Raw genomic sequence first — 15,918 nt, forward strand, 5'->3', positions numbered from 1 at the left:
CTCCTCACTTCACTGCTATCACGCTGCCCTCAGTCACTCACCATCTTTCACCCACATTTTTACAGTTGCCTCCTACCTGGTTTGCCTGCTTCTCTTCTTGCCTCCTTAAAGTCAGCTCTCACTGTTTCTTCTTCTTATATTTTGTGCTTGCTCTCCCTCTAGACATACGCATGGTTTGCCCTCTTACCTCATTTGATTCTCTCCACCAATGTCCCTTCTCAGGAGAGACTTCACTGACCTCCTTCCACCCTAAAACCTCCAGTTTCTCTTCTCTGCTTTATTTTTCTTCATAACATTTACCACTATTTAATATATTATATCTGTTTGGTTGCTTATTGCCTGTCTCCCCCAAATGGACTCTATAACAACAGGGATTTCCTTTCATTCTGATTTATTTAGTACAGGATTCTGAAATTCCCAGAACAGTGTGAGGCTCAATAAATATTTTTCCAATGAATGAGAGAATGGCACAAAGGAAGGGCAAAATATGTTGTTTCCCAATCTAAGTTCATTGTTCTAGATCAGAGAAATGTGGGAGATAGTCTGAGCTGTGGTTCTGAGGGAAAGACAGACCATCCTATCATATGTTTGCAAATGTGTGTGTGCCTGCGACCACCTGGCATTTCAAAGATCAAAACATACCATGATGTTCAGTGTGCTGGGCATCCAAACTTGCATCTCAGTCTCCATTTTTTTAAAAAAAAAACATGATTATAAATATCTATAACTATATAAATGAAAACTTCATATTCTGTCCACAGTGTCTTCTATTTTTACTGTCCCAAATGTGAGATTGCAACCAGAAGCTGGAGAAAGCATGCGGGCCTTTGGGAAAAACAATAGTTATGGCAAAAGTCTATCAAACAGCAAGCACTGACAAGCAGCACATTCTCAAGAGCACACAGGTAAGAGGACCTGCTTTACCTGGAAAGTAATATTTAATGGATATTGAACGGATTCTTTAAGTGAAATATTTCAGACTCGTTTTTTCACCAACTATCCTATGAGTCTCTTGTGTGCATTATGGCATTCATCAGACCTATTGAGATAGAATGCACTCAGTCATTTCCATATTTTCAGGCACCTACTAGATTCTAACTAAAATTATACTTATGCTTTTATTTATGTAGTCATAGGCAAACCATTTTAGTTATAAGCAAGTCATCTTAACTACTCACATTCCTCATGGAGATTAGAAAAAGGTTCACTTTGGGCTGTATCTAAGCCACAGACCTACTTTGTTTTGCCCATGCAATTTTTCTAATTAGTTGTTCTCATTTTAAAATGGGGAGATTACACACAAAATCTAGATTTCTGGTTTTCCTTGAAAAATAAGCAACTCTAGCAATATTGCCTTCACATTCCTACCAGAAGTGTTTGCGTGTAACTGAATCATTGCTGCCTCCTTTGGAGGGGATGTAGACTCCCCAGTTTAGTTTAGCTCCCATCTGGGCCACTTCACCTATTTCTGATTCCTGTCTGGCTCCTGGTACGGACCTTATCATGATGAAGCTTTTCTCTTTCACTATCAAATTCTTTGTCCTCTACTATTGTGCAGATAGGAAGCATAATCTAAACTTGGCAACCTCTAGCCATGTCAGCCTGGCCCAGTCATCACATCACGTGTGCTACGTAGTGACCAGCCTGGGATGGCAACTTCTGAAAAGGCCATCTTTCTTGATTGCCAGATGGAAATGCCTAGTATTTTTGGAAAATTTTTAGTGTGTGTGTGTATATATATATACATACATACATATATATACATATACATTCTTAATGTAACACAAGTCTCTGAAACAAATAGAGAACAAATGTTACTGTGGAGAAGGCTTTTTATGTGCTGATTTGTAGAGAAAAGTGTGTCTTTGTTCTGATATTCAGTAATTAAGTGTTCAGGCCAGACATGGTGGCACATACCTGTAATCCCAGCACTTTGGGAGGCCGAGGCAGGCAGATTGCTTGAGCTCAGGAGTTCGAGAACAGCCTGGACAACATGGTGAAAGCGTATCTCTACAAAAAATACAAAAATTACCTGGGCGTGGTGGTGGCATGTGCCTATAGTCCCAGCTACTTGGGAGGCTGAGGTGGGAGGATGGCTTGAGCCTGGGAGGCTGAGGTTGCAGTGAGCTGAGATTGCACCACTGCACTCCAGCCTGAGTGACAGAGCCAGACCCTGTCTCAAAAAGTAAATAAATAAAATAAAAAGTGTTCAAGTAACTCAAAGGATATATGCAGCATTGCAGTAGTTCCTCTTCCTTCCTCCCTCTCTTAGTTTGAAATATGTTAACAGGCTAAATTGATAGCATGGTAAAGAGAGCAAATTTTAAACTGTACACATTGTCTTGTGGGTAATCTGCCAGTATCTTGAGCTACTTCTGGACTTAGCTTTTGAATACCCTCAACATAGGGGTCAATTTTGGCCTATCAGGGGCATGGTGGAAAGTTATGAATGATTTGGAGATAAAAGATCTCCAGATAAAGTATGATGTATAAATGACAGTCAGAAGATGTTACTGTTAAACTTGCCACTCCATAGGTAAGAGTCTTCATTCTTCATGTTATTTCTCCCTGTTGAATAAAAAGCACAACTCTCGGTTGCATTTGTACTCCCACTCTGAATTTCAATTGGTCAGACAAAGAGTGGGGCTAGGTTTTTGACAAGCTACCTCCTGGTATTGAGAATGGTTTTAATTCATGAGGGTTACAGCATATGCTTTTTTAAAGTATTTAACCTGCATTATCATAATGAGGGCCCTGGCTTTATAAATCCCTTCACCAATTCAGTGGAACAAAACAAAAAGTGGACTTTATTTGTGCTGCTACCTCATACACACATGCACACAAGCAAGCCTGAATTTCAATTGCAAGGCTGTGTTCCTCTTCTTGGCTCTTTTGAGATCCCCTGACCTGAGCCCAGCCAGTCAAAGCTGCTAGAACGTGTTTCAGCTCAGCTCCTCTTTGGGAAATCAAATCAAGCTCACAGGACAGAAGGGTTGCTCAGAAAGTCTCAAAGGTTGCTAATTGAAAAGAGATTTTTTTAAAAGGTGCTCAGAACTACAGTCATCAGTATATAAAAGCCTTTACAAAAATGTAAAAATGTATTTTCTTCACATATATTTTTTAAACTAGATGTCAGGTTATAACACAGTAGAAGCTTTTCCTCTAGAATTATTTGATAGCAATACAAATATTTTTTCTATGACGTTTGCCTTTTTCACATCAACTTGTAAAGCTTTTTTTTTTTTTTTGAGATGGAGTTTCACTCTTTTGCCCAGGCTAGAGTGAAGTGGCATAATCTTGGCTCTCTGCAACCTCTGCCCCCGCCTGGGTTCAAGCAATTCTCCTGCCTCAGCCTCCCAAGTAGCTGGGATTACAGGCACATACCACCACGCCTGGCTAGTTTTTGTATTTTTAGTAGAGACGGGGTTTTGCCATGTTGGCCAGGCTGGTCTCGAACTCCTGACCTCAGTTGATCCACCCACCTTGGCCTCCCAAAGTGCTAGGATTACAGGCGTGAGTCACCGCGCCTGGCCCAATAAAGCTTTAATATTATTGTTGGTGTAGTTTTCTTCCCATCCAAATGCCTCAGCATGATTCAATATAATGCTGAGGAAACAACCCAATTTCTCAGAAAAGCTACAGGGAAGATGGATTCTAAGAGTTTTCTGTCAGTCAGCAGAAAAAGAAATTATTTTAATGTCTCACCTTTGTGGAGTTTTTAAATAAATGGGACCATCTTCGAGATCAAATAATATAGCCTATTTATTGGCCTATTATATCTTGTGGAATGGCCTTTCTCTGACCAATACTGAATATCATATAGACATTATAGAGCAAAATGTCTATGTAGATAAGGTATCCTTAGAGAAAAATCTGTAATTTCTTAGACTTTGATTTTGCGTTGCTGTTGAATTCATTGACTGTTTAGAGAAGGCTTTGGCATATTAAATTTCCTCAAATGTCCCAATTCTTTGTAATGCCTAGAGAGATTGGGAAGGAGAGGGAGGCCAAGGGGGTTGGGGGCTGAAGGAGACTAAAACTGGGCCGGCCGGCATTTTAACCATCTCTCTTTGGGGAGTTACAAGGAGGTAAATGTGGAAAATGCATTATATTACTTCTGTCTTTGAAATGGTAGAGGACTGAGTAGACAAGAATGTTTCAAGTCCTAATTTTTCTTCCAAACCTCAATGCCAAATTATTTCTTTCCTTGCATACCAAGGTCACTTCAATTATTTAGTTAATAATGCCAGATTTGCATAAATTGGTCTTAGTGGAAAATCTAATGAGATGCATTTGGCTTTGCAGCAGAAAGCAATTTTGGTTTCAGAGTCTTGTAACCAAATTAAATAAGAAGAAAACCATAAATACCTAAGTTAAAAATGGGATAGGTGCCACTGGATTATCAAAATACTGTGCTTCTTACATTTTGTTATCTTCTAAAGATATTAGTAAAGATTTCATAGATTCTTCTAACTCATTTTATCAGCACTGATGGGTAAGACCCTTCTAAAGTCTGAGAGAGCCTTAAATATACATAGAAATTTTCCCCAAGGAAAAGACTGGAAGCTGTATTGAATACCACATCCATTAGTATGACTTATTTTTGCATGCAGTGATACCAAACACATCCCTCTGGTGAGCTTAATTTTCCACTTACTCTAAACTGGCATAGAAAGTGCATGGTCACTCTACTTCTCCTTTAGCTAAATATAAGGGATAAGAAAGGTCTCTATTCTTTTAGATATGTTTTGTAATTTTTCTGAAATAGTATGTGCTCATTATGGAATATCTCTTTTCAATGAATCAGTTGGTTCACAGACCCCATTCCTAATAAATTTACAAATGTTTGTCTAGTGCATGAAAGAATTTTATTTGGTTCAATTGCAAGAAGTTAACTGCATGCATGTTTTGGTGACCCTCTCCTTACCTTTTAGCCTCTTATTTCTGCAAATCCACATTATGTAGGAATTACATGATAATGAAAAAAAAATGTGTCGGACTCTCTACTTGGTCATTAAGCAGTAATTTCCTGTAAGTAGGCTGTTAGGTAAACAGAGTAGAATGCTCAATGAAATTTAATTAAATGAGATAAAGATTTTTTTAGAAACCTGCTTTTAGACAGAACACAATGCACTGGTGCTTAAGACTGTGGCAGCACTGTCTGAACGTTAGTAGAATGGTGGTTCTTACTCGGTAGGCCACCTAGAGCTGTTTGCCATCTCAACCGCCATCTCAACTCTGGAAACTGCTCCTAAAGAACAGCCACCTATTGCTCTCCTCCATGCTGTGACATTATGGCGGCTCACTTTTTCTGTCTTTGCATCAACTAACACAGCTTTCATGTTCCCTTCACTTCAGGGCTTCTGCTGACTTGTTTCTGCTTATTCATGGATTCTGCTTATTATCATTTCTCTTTGTCCCTCTACTTCTGGGGCAGTCTATTGCTGACCTCTTTTTGCCTCAGATTCAAACCCTCCCAGAGAGTGGCTCTGATTGATGTAGCCATCATCATGAAGCAGAGAGCAAAGCTGTTGTGTCAGTCACCCCTGTAGAAACTGCTGACTGACGGTAGGCTGCCTTGAGGTCAGGCTCTGAGCCCTGATCCAGTCAGCTGGGCCCAGAACTGGTTGGCCAACCTGTTTTTAAGGAAGCATTTGGAAGAGACTGCTGGGCTTAGCCCTTCAGAAACTTGGAGAAGGTTTTGGAAAGCAAGCAGTATAGCTGGAAAGTGCCTTGCCTGGCCTGTATACTACTGAGTGAAAAATCAGGCAAGTACAGAGAGAAACTCCAGTTCTGATGGTGTGATATCTTCATTGTATGATATTTTTAACTATTGACTAAAGGTCCTTTTAAGGTGTGTTGCATTTTCTCAACTATAGACACAAACGGAGATAATATCCATCAGCACTTTTCAATATATAAGAAACACAAGTGTTAGATCTAGGTTTCTTTCAGTACTAGGAAGATTTCTGGGGTTTTTCCTGCAAAAACTGCCATTTTCTGCATTATCCTACAATTTTTTTTTCCTATTAAACATCTGCAGTTTTATTATTTCTGTTATCTCATGTAATTGACAACAATTGTTGAAATGACGCTTAGAGGGGAAACAAACCTTAGTGTTCTTTGCAGGTTTCATCTGGAAGATTCCCTAGTTGTTACCATTACCCCCACATGACTGCCAATTAAAAAATATATCTTATTTGGGAAATTGACAGCACTTTGAACCTCAAATGCATGATGCATATTATGAATATCCAAATGAGAAGAGGCCGGAATGCTATTAGTTTCCCCACCTCACCTCACCCCACCTCCACCCCACCTTACCTTAGCTTCCTGTCTACCCTGGGGAGTCTGTTCTATCCTTTAAACGCTAATGCAAGTTTGTTTCTTCTCTCCTCCTTGTCCCTTCTCTGCCTCTCCACCCCTTCTTTTCTTTGGGTCAACTCTGATCTGTACTGTGCACCACTACCACCCTAACCGCATGCAAGTGTAGGCAGAGGACTCGCAGGCTCTCACCACCTACTGGGATTGTCACAAAGCAGAATGAAAATAAAGTTGTATCATGCTTCCTTCAGAATGCATTCTTAAAGCATTTTTGTTTTGTTTTGTTTTTTATTTTGTTATTTGTTTTTTTTAAGAGACAGGGTCTCGCTCTGTTGCTCAGGCTGAACTTCGTGTGTTCAAGCGATCCTCCCACCTCAGCTTCCCGAGTAGCTAGGACTACAGGTGCGCACCACCACACCTGGATCATTTTTAAATTTTTTTGTAAAGATGGAGTCTCGCTATGTTGTCTCAGCTGGTCTCAAACTCCTGGCCTTAAGCGATCATCCTGCTTTCGCCTCACAAAGTGTTGGGATTACAGGCATGAGCAACTATGCCCAGCCTTCAAGCATTTTTTTTTATATTGACATAATTTCATGTCTACAGAAAAGATGCAAGAATAGCACAAGAATTCCTGATACCCTTCACCCACTGTCCCCAAAGTGTTAACATTTTACTACATTAGCTACATTTGCTTTATCATATTAATTCTCTCCGCCATCACATACAAATTTGTGCACACATACATTGTTTCACTAAACCATGTATGTTACTCAAATGAAGCTCCATTATCTTTAAATATTTAACTGTGTTTTTCTTAAAAACAAATAATTTAGAGTGATTTTTTAAAATAAAAATAATAAATTTTTGCCCTTTCTTTCCTTTTTTTTTTCTCTGATTAAGGTTTTAAAAAGCAAAGTGGCTGAAAGAGAGGAAACTGGTTGATGCTTCACAAATTGGTTCATCAGCCTTTGGATCCTTAAAATTGACTATATTTTTGTGAATCAGCATTTCCAGGTCAAATGAGCTTTCAAAATGGTGAGGGGCGGGGGGAATAGCACTTGCATCTTCTGACTTCTTAAAACCCAAATTAATTTCTTAGGGACTATTTAGCCAGCAGCATAATATGAGTGAAGCTTTCTTATAAATAGTGGGCCCAAGCTGTGATGTGGCTAGTAACCACAATATTTATTACAAGGAAGTTAGCAGTCACATATAGAAAGTAGTTAGAATCAGTTCAGGTGCTGTATTTTTCCTTTTCATTTAATGTTGATTCTTATGAATTTGGGATACAGAAGGAATTGTCTATGCCCTAAGTGCACTGTATTGTATTATTAATACCAGTATAGCAGCTGAGTCCCACTAGACAGTCTTTGTGGTCTGCTGATACTCTAAGAAGTGTCTAAGCATAAAAGGAGGCTGTTTGAGTTGAAGTGGGCTGATGGTCTGGGATGACATTTGAATGCACAGAGGACAATGTCTAAATGACAATGTCGAGAAGGAAAGGCAAAAAGAAGCTGAAAACTATTCCCGCTGTCCCATGGATACTCGTCACTCCTTCTGCGATATTCTTCACATGGGAGCTTTGTCTGGGTAGAAATGGGGAGTGGGATCAGGGAGGGCTAGACACTGGGGCCTGGGGACAAGAGCCAGGGTTTCATGTCCTTAAACACATTAAAATTCTAGACAGATAGCAAATGTAATGAAAATTGCAACCTGAATGTGTTCTGATAGACAAAGTTAAACACTTTAGCTAAAGTATTACAAGTATAATTAACAAAAAGTTTGCAATACTCTGAATTGCTTCTGTGAATAAAGCTTTTAAGAGCATCAAATTGGTTGTGCAAATGAATGGTTTACTGAGCATCTTTTGGAATTTAGGATAGCTGCTTTCTCTGCTAACCAACGCATGCACACACACACACATACACAAACACACACCATTCATACAGCCAAAAAGAATAATTTTTCAGCAGTCCTTGAGTTGTGAAGATAACATCATAGATTAATCAAAGGTTACTTTTCCATTTAGGGAAATAATGTACACAATCTAGAAAAAAAAATACAAAAGTTAGAGTCATTGGTGGAAATTTATCTCATTATAAAAATAACCCTGTATGCTAAGCATGGAATCAAATACTGAACTGTTAACCTCAATATTGGGGTGAATTTTTTACCTTTAAATTATCACCATTGTCTTAATGTAGTTTGCATTACGTATAGTGCCCTTGGATTTTTAATTGCTCTGGATTATCATTTTCAATGCAATTAGTAAAATGCCCTCAATTACATATAATAATTACTGTAAATGGGGCTATTGGCCTAATTACTATAAATGGGGAAAGATGTGTGATTATAATGTGCAATTAAATCATGTACAGTATTTATTTTACATTATTACATACAATGGTATAATGATAACACATAATTATATTGTATCTTTCCTTGGTCAACAAATCTACTCCATATTAAGATACCTAGAGTTGTGATACATTGCCAAATTAACCATCTCCGGGATCATTCTTCCTAAAATAATAGGGTTATTCTGTGGGCCAAGGCCCCACTAAGTTTAAATATAATTAAATAAACTGATTCTGCACAGGCAGGAAAAATCTGGAAGGAAAAAAATTATTTCACCTCTATTAGTTAAGAATGCCCAGATTATCCTCTTTTTGTCGGTGTCAAGAATTTAATCCTCCCTGGCGCCATACCAACCTCCACCATACCTGTTTGTTTTTATGTGAATATGTAAAAATTAACACCCCTAAATGTTGGTAACATTTAAAATATGCCTGAGAAAAAAAGAGGTTCTTTCTTCACTGTGGCAAGTATTATAATCATCCCTAGTTTACAAATGCACACTTAACGAGCTTATAGCACATAATTAATTCTGCAAAGGATGCTGTTTGACAGAGTGGGATTATGAGAATTGCATATTGATAGTGGCAGGAGAAATAAAACTATTTTCTCTACGTAAGATGGGATATATCTTGTGTTCTTTAGAAACTGGCACATCTCAGAGGTGTAGCTCTCAAAATGATCTCAGGATGTAAAGAAATCAGTAATTACAGAGCCAGGCATTCAGTTGTGTCCTAATTTTCCCACCAGTTTTTCAGTGTTTCAGCTGCCTCAGAGACTTAAAGTATTCTCATTAGGTAGCTGCAGAGGCAGCCGCTTGCCTACTCCCTCATTCTCTCACTCGCTTTTCTTTTTTTTATTTTTTTTTCCTTCCATTCCTGCCTTGGGAGTGACTGTGAAGATCATTTGCTGGAATGATTGGCAGGTTAGAGGATTCGATCAGATGAGTTCCTCTTAGTGCAGGTCAAAAAGGCTAGTTAGCAGGAGCTGTCGAAAAATGCCAGCAGCATTCGAAATGGGAAATGTCATGACTTCGAGGCAGGGGGTGCCACCTGGAACAGAAAGCTCTCGGCTCATTAGCAAGTTACAGGATGCGGGCTTAACTGGAGGGAGCAGGGAAGGAAAGATAATACCCAATAGGGAAAATGATTGTGAAGTGGAATTGATTTCATGTATAATTTGTTTATCACTAGAGGGGACAAATGCTGTCCTTCTGACATGAGCAGAGGAGTGTGGACTATGAATGAAGCGACTTAGCATAATCTCCAGGTTGAGCTTTGGATTTAAAGAAAGCAAACTTCTTTATTCTTAACTGTGGAAATGATCAGGTCATGTTACATTAATTAAAGCTGACATACTCTCAAATGTTTTATCTGGGCAATTGCGGCAATTCGACAGAAGCGGATAGAGATGGGCAACTTCAGAAAATAAGAGGGATTTTCCCCCCTCTGCTAGTGTGGAAGACTAGCTTAGTTGCATACTGAATTATAACAGGGTTGGTGTTTATACTCAGTGGTTAGCTAGGCTGCACATATCAAACCAGGGTTCCGGATTCACGTGCAGTCTCATTGATAGAAGAGACCACATGCCCTTTGGGAGATTTGTGTCTAATCCATGTGAAAAAATGTATGTACATTTTAGAATATGACTGTGTCCTATTTTGGTACAATGTTAAAATTTTAACTTCTTTTTTTTTAAAGGAGAAGTTCTCCCATTTCATTGCTGCCTACATGTCAATTCATCTAGAATTTAATATTCTACTATAAAGTTAATTTACAGTAACCTTATTTACAAACAAAACTAAACTAAAAAGTTGCTGTTATAGAGGAAATTAATCTGCAGTTTATAAAAAGAGAACACAGTGGCAAAACAGAAAATAGTATTGCCTCGCATGTATTCATACTAAACTCCAAATTAAAGGCTTCCAGTATTTTTACAATGTATCAAATGAGCTTTTGTTTAAAGCCTTTTTTTAAACATAAATTCCATCCGAAAACGTATTTTGTTTTGATAAGAAACTTTTATGATATCATTTATCTTTTGGCGTGGAGATCTTCATCTTGTTAAGTCACAAATGCCACAGCTGCAAGTCTTTCTGGCTGAACACTAAAGGATGTTTACTTAGCATCCAGATTCTGGTTAAAATGTATATTTTCAAAATGTCTTTGCCTTGGGTTTCTCTTAAATATTGAGACATTTTATGAGGCAGTTGTTAAATAGCCAAGGCTTGTTTTATCAAGCAGCCTCAGACTGCTGTGTAATGTGAATAGGAATCTTAAAACCTCCTAGTCCAAAACACTGGTGCAAAATTCATTCCATTCTGTATTCAGCATAAAAAGCTTAGCATTAAGCTACTGTATATAGCTTTCAAGATATACTGCATTAGTTCTGTCAAATATAAAAATTTAAACATCAGTGTGAATCCACTCATCCCCTCATTTGGGAATTGTATTGTGTGGTCCAGAAGCTGGCCTTGAAAACAAAATTTTTATAGAATGCTGTCTGAAATGTTCACCTAACGTTAAGATTTTTTATCTTTCACAGAAACCCAATTTGTTAATAACTGACAGATTTATTAGATTAATAAATAAACAAACCACTTTGAGGGAAAACATTGTCAAAAAAATGTTATAATAAAATAATTGGGTATAGTTGTCTACAAGTAACAAGTAGGTTTCCCAGTCTGTACCTTTAAGTAAGAAGCCCTTACCGTAAACTCAAGACAGGCAAGTTGAAGGCTCCTGGCCCTGCAGACTGCAGGGGTGAATTGGTGGTGTTTGTGCATGCCTGGTCTCATTGCCTACCCTTTTCTCCAGCCCCTCCTTTCAATTCCGCATTGCAGAGTCAGCTCTGCACTCACTGACTTCTTAGACTCTCCACTATTTTACATTCTTCTCAATCCATCTCCTCTCCATTAACTAATTGCTGGTACATATTGACATTCTTATGTTTATCATACTCTTTGTTGAACGTTTCCACAACTCTGTGGATTGAGTAACCATGTGTTAAAAGTCTTACTTTCAGTTTTGTGGGTTCTCCTCAGAGAAGGTCCCTGGATACTAAAGAAAAGAAATGATAGTTTTATCATCGTCTTTTATGTCAGCAGATCTCAAAGTGTGGTCCATATACCATGTGGATCCCCAGGGGCTTCACGCCCAGGGCCTTCATGGGGTCAAAACTGTTTTCATAATAACACTAAGATATTCTTTGCCATTTACACTGTGTTGACATTTGCACTAGTGGTGCAAAAGCAATGGAGGGTAAAACTGCTGGCTCCTTAGCATGAATCAAAGCAGTGACACTCTAAACTGTATTCCTGGGCACTGTGTCTTCACAACCACACAATTCAATTTTGGAGGGGGCGGAAAAAGCTTCACTTAATAATATTCTTGATGAGGAAGTTAAAAGTATTGATTTTATTAAACCTCTACTTTTAGGTAAATGTCTTCTTAATATACTCTGTGACTAAATGGGAAGTTTGCCTAAGTCATTTCCACTGGATACCTAGTTACCATGGTTGTCTCAAGGAAAACTCTTGTACAGTTGTTTGAGTTGTAAGCTGAACTAACTGCTTTTTTCCAGGCATATGGTTTTTACTTGAAAGAATGACTGACAGGAAAAACTATGGTTATTCAGACTTGGGTATTTGGCAGACATCTTCTCAGAAAGGAACCAAAAATGAGTTCATCACCAAAGCAAAAAACCAGTATTAATTTGTTGATAAAATTAGAGCTTTCAATAGAAAATTTGAATTTGAGAACTCTATGGGTAGCTTTTATTTGCCACTGTGAACTGGACAGTGATAATGAGATTGGTGGTAATATAAACAAATGTGATTTTTTTGATATTATATAGTGAAACGTGTCAACCTTTGAAATACCTGCATAACTCACTAAATCAATGTTTTCCAAATGATCAATGCATGTTAGCAAAATAATGCATGGATAAAATATTCACTGAAAGTTTAAAATAAACCAATAGATATTAAGGTAACAGAATACGAAGAGTTCATTGATATAGTTTCAGATTCCCTGGTACAATTAACCCTTAAGAAACTAACACTTGTTGAGTTTTGTTGTACTGTAAAAGAAGAATATATCTGAAAGGGCTATTAAAATACTTTTTTCTTTTCCAACTACTTATCTGTTGTAGTCCCATATTTTTGTCATTTGCTTCAACCAAAACAATGTATCATAATAGATTGAATGTAGAAACATATTTGTGAACCCAACTCTCTTCTATCCAGCCACTCATTGAAAAGATTTGCACAACTATAGGGCACTGCCACTCCTCCCACTAATTCTCTTTGGAAAATGTAGTTATTTTTATTTAAATTCTGTTTTCATGTTAACATGTAATGAGTTCTCACATAAATATTTTTAATTAACAGTTTTAATTTTGAATATGGTAAGTATCAGCAGCTACAAACCATAGAAGCAAAAGTTCTTAGGGGGTTCCTTTTAACTTTTAAGAGTCTTAAGGGGTCCTAAGATAAAAAAGTATGAGAAACACTGCTCTATTTCACAAGTGTCATGCATTAACTCTAACATACAAGTTATGTTGGTAACATTTTCCTTCTTGAAGAAATTACTATTCAGCACAAATTTTTTTTTGCTATATGAAATGATTCTGGATCTCTCGATTTAATATCTCAATTTTTCTAGTGTACAATAGATAAAAATCCCTATTCTTGTGTTCACACAGGTATCATCTGAAAATTACAATAGAGCATCATTTACTATCCTCTTGATGACTAGTAGACCAAATCTTGAAAGACTTTTACTGTATATTAATCTTAGGGGCTGTGACTTTCCTTTTTTATATGCATCAAGTTTGACCTCACATGGAGAGCCTCTGGCCATATGATACTAAATCATCAGGCCATTTTACATAGCTTGCTTATAGGACTCAGAAAGGCTTTCAGATAGCTCCTATTAGACACAGCATAAATTCAACTTTATGTCAGAAAACGGGACTTGGGTCTTTTCCCGCCGAGCTCCCATGAAGTAACTCATGGAAATCTGGGTGCATTTGGGGTTTCAGAATCCAGAATATCTGCTCAACCTGAGTAGCAGTCAGTCAGATTAGGGCTGTGTTCTTTAGTTTTTTATTTTTTTTTTGTTTTTGTTTTTTGAACTCTATTTTGAAGTACTTTTAGATTTTTTAGAAGAGTTGTAAAGCCAGTACAGAGGATTATGTCCTTAACCCACCTTCTCCTAATATTAACTTTATTTTTTATGACCTGGATGCTTTTGAAGAGTACTGTTCAGGTATTTTGCAGAATGTCCCTCATGATGTTTTGGAGAAGAATACCACTAAGATGAGATGCCCTTTCACCACTTCATGTCAAGAAGTACATGATATCCACATAAATTATCACTGGAGATGTTGACCTTGATCACTACATTAACACAGATAAGGTTTTAAAGCCAACGTGATATCCAGGATGTAAAGTCAGAGAAGCTGGAGATCTGGGACAGGTTCTCAGTCAAATGGAAAGAACTCTAAATGGTTACTGAACTGACAACAAGGCTGTCTAATGTCAGAATCTGAAGAGAGAAATTACTCTCAAGGCTTCAACTTTCTAAATGAAAATGGGTGGAAATGGAGACAGAGTCACCAACAAAGCAGGGAATGTCTGAGTTAAGAACCCTGAGATGTTCCAGCCTTTGACTCAGGATCAGTGATAGAATTTATAAGGGCATCTGACAGCGTGTGGAATATATTTTGTAAACATGAATAAAATGTGGCTACTTTACAGATGTTGGGAACAAAGCAAGTGTTAGCCCTTCAGTATTGAAGTCACCTGTTCATTTGTCTTCCTTCCCCACTGGAATCTAAATATCAGAATACAGGAACTCGTTTACGGTTTTATCCTCATTTTACCATTATATTTCCCATCTCCTCGCATGGCACATAATCTATGCCCATTAAATATTTTTGAAATATTGATTGACTTAGTGAATATCCAACCAACTCACCATACACCAATCTCTTGTTCTTTTAGGAAGTTTTTTTGTTGGTTGGTTGGTTGGTTGGTTTTTTAGCAACCACTATATTGGTGCTCTACTAGACAATAGTAAGAAGACAGTTCCAGCTTCAAGACACTCACAATTTAGGGACACAAATGCAGTCTTTTAAATTTCAGGATGATGACGGGTACAGCAGAACTTTGCATGAAGCTATATGGGAGAGCAAATAAGGGAAATATTAATTTTGCTCGAGGAGATAGCAGAAGTTTTTCCAAAGGAAGAGATTTTGAACAAAAGAAGGCATTGGATTTTGCATGGGCATACAGGAGGAGAAGGATGTTTTCAAAAAGAGGAAACAAACACCAAGAGCAAAGCTGTGTCACAAAGTGCAGCATCTCTAGGGACTGATCTGATAGAGCTAAGGGGCTGGGAGATACGGAGTGAGAAGACACGCGCAGAGAAAGTCATTTGAAGCCCGATTCTGAGGGTCTTGAATGACATGCTGAAGAGTTTGGATTTTCATGTTGTTGCCCATAGAGAATATGTATGACTTCCTGGTCACAGACAGAAGAACCAAAACATCTTCAAGCTGAGAGATCCTTTAGGAATCATTTAACAATGCTAAAGGAAGATGTATTTTTTTTCTTCTTTGAACTTATTATGTTAGATCATGTCTTGAAATTAAGTAAAGAAAATAAACAAGATTCCATTCACATTTATGCCTAATTTGATGTTAGCAATTTTACCAACACTTACTCTTCTCCTTCTATTCATCCTCCAGCCATGACATTTTAAATTTCAGGATGATAAAGGGTACAGCAGAACTTTGCGTGAAGCCATATGGGAGGGCAAATGAGGGAAAAATTAATTTTGCTGGAGGAGGTTGCAAAAGTGACTGCAACTCTGTTGTGACTCTGTTACAGACATAGTTTCTTGATTATACATTTATCAGCATATTACAACATGTTTCTTAAAAGTAATATGTAAATTATTTTAAGTTAAAGAATATGCCTTTTCTATTCACATATCTTTTGTAAAATGAATAACAATCCCCTTAATTTAAATTTTGTGAATATATAATATTTCATATATTAAGATACATTGGTATCATTTGGGAGAAATGCAAAAAATGGAAAAGCGAGTTTCTAGGGATAAAAATTTAAGACAATTTTCAAAGTTAAAAGAAATGTTTAAGAATTCAGTATCTTCATGGTCTTGTATACTCAGCAGTCAATTGGTGTGCAAAAGTGTTTTTATGAATAAATTC

The 15,918-nt window shown here is 37.5% G+C and overlaps 1 protein-coding gene across 4 annotated transcripts in view, besides 1 other annotated feature; it reads left to right on the forward strand.

Annotated features, from left to right (window-relative positions):
• The window catches only part of CDK14 (cyclin dependent kinase 14), a 614,270-nt gene that overhangs the window by 520,983 nt on the left and 77,369 nt on the right, over positions 1–15,918 (forward strand). For all 4 annotated transcript variants that reach the window (NM_001287135.2, NM_012395.3, NM_001287136.1 and 1 more), the window contains one exon: positions 762–905. In NM_001287135.2, the coding sequence (NP_001274064.1) occupies positions 762–877 (116 nt within the window). In that variant the 3' untranslated portion in view covers positions 878–905. The remainder of the gene's footprint in view (positions 1–761; positions 906–15,918) is intronic.
• Positions 7,277–11,462: an enhancer, noted in NCBI's record as "VISTA enhancer hs1627". NCBI's record gives its function as "enhancer in: midbrain (mesencephalon)[20/20] | forebrain[11/20] | limb[13/20] | eye[18/20] | ear[18/20]" and the evidence as "EXISTENCE:transgenic organism evidence [ECO:0001131][PMID:17130149]".

The sequence above is a fragment of the Homo sapiens genome, chromosome 7 (genome assembly GCF_000001405.40).
Source record: "Homo sapiens chromosome 7, GRCh38.p14 Primary Assembly".
Taxonomy (NCBI): Eukaryota; Metazoa; Chordata; class Mammalia; order Primates; family Hominidae; genus Homo; species Homo sapiens.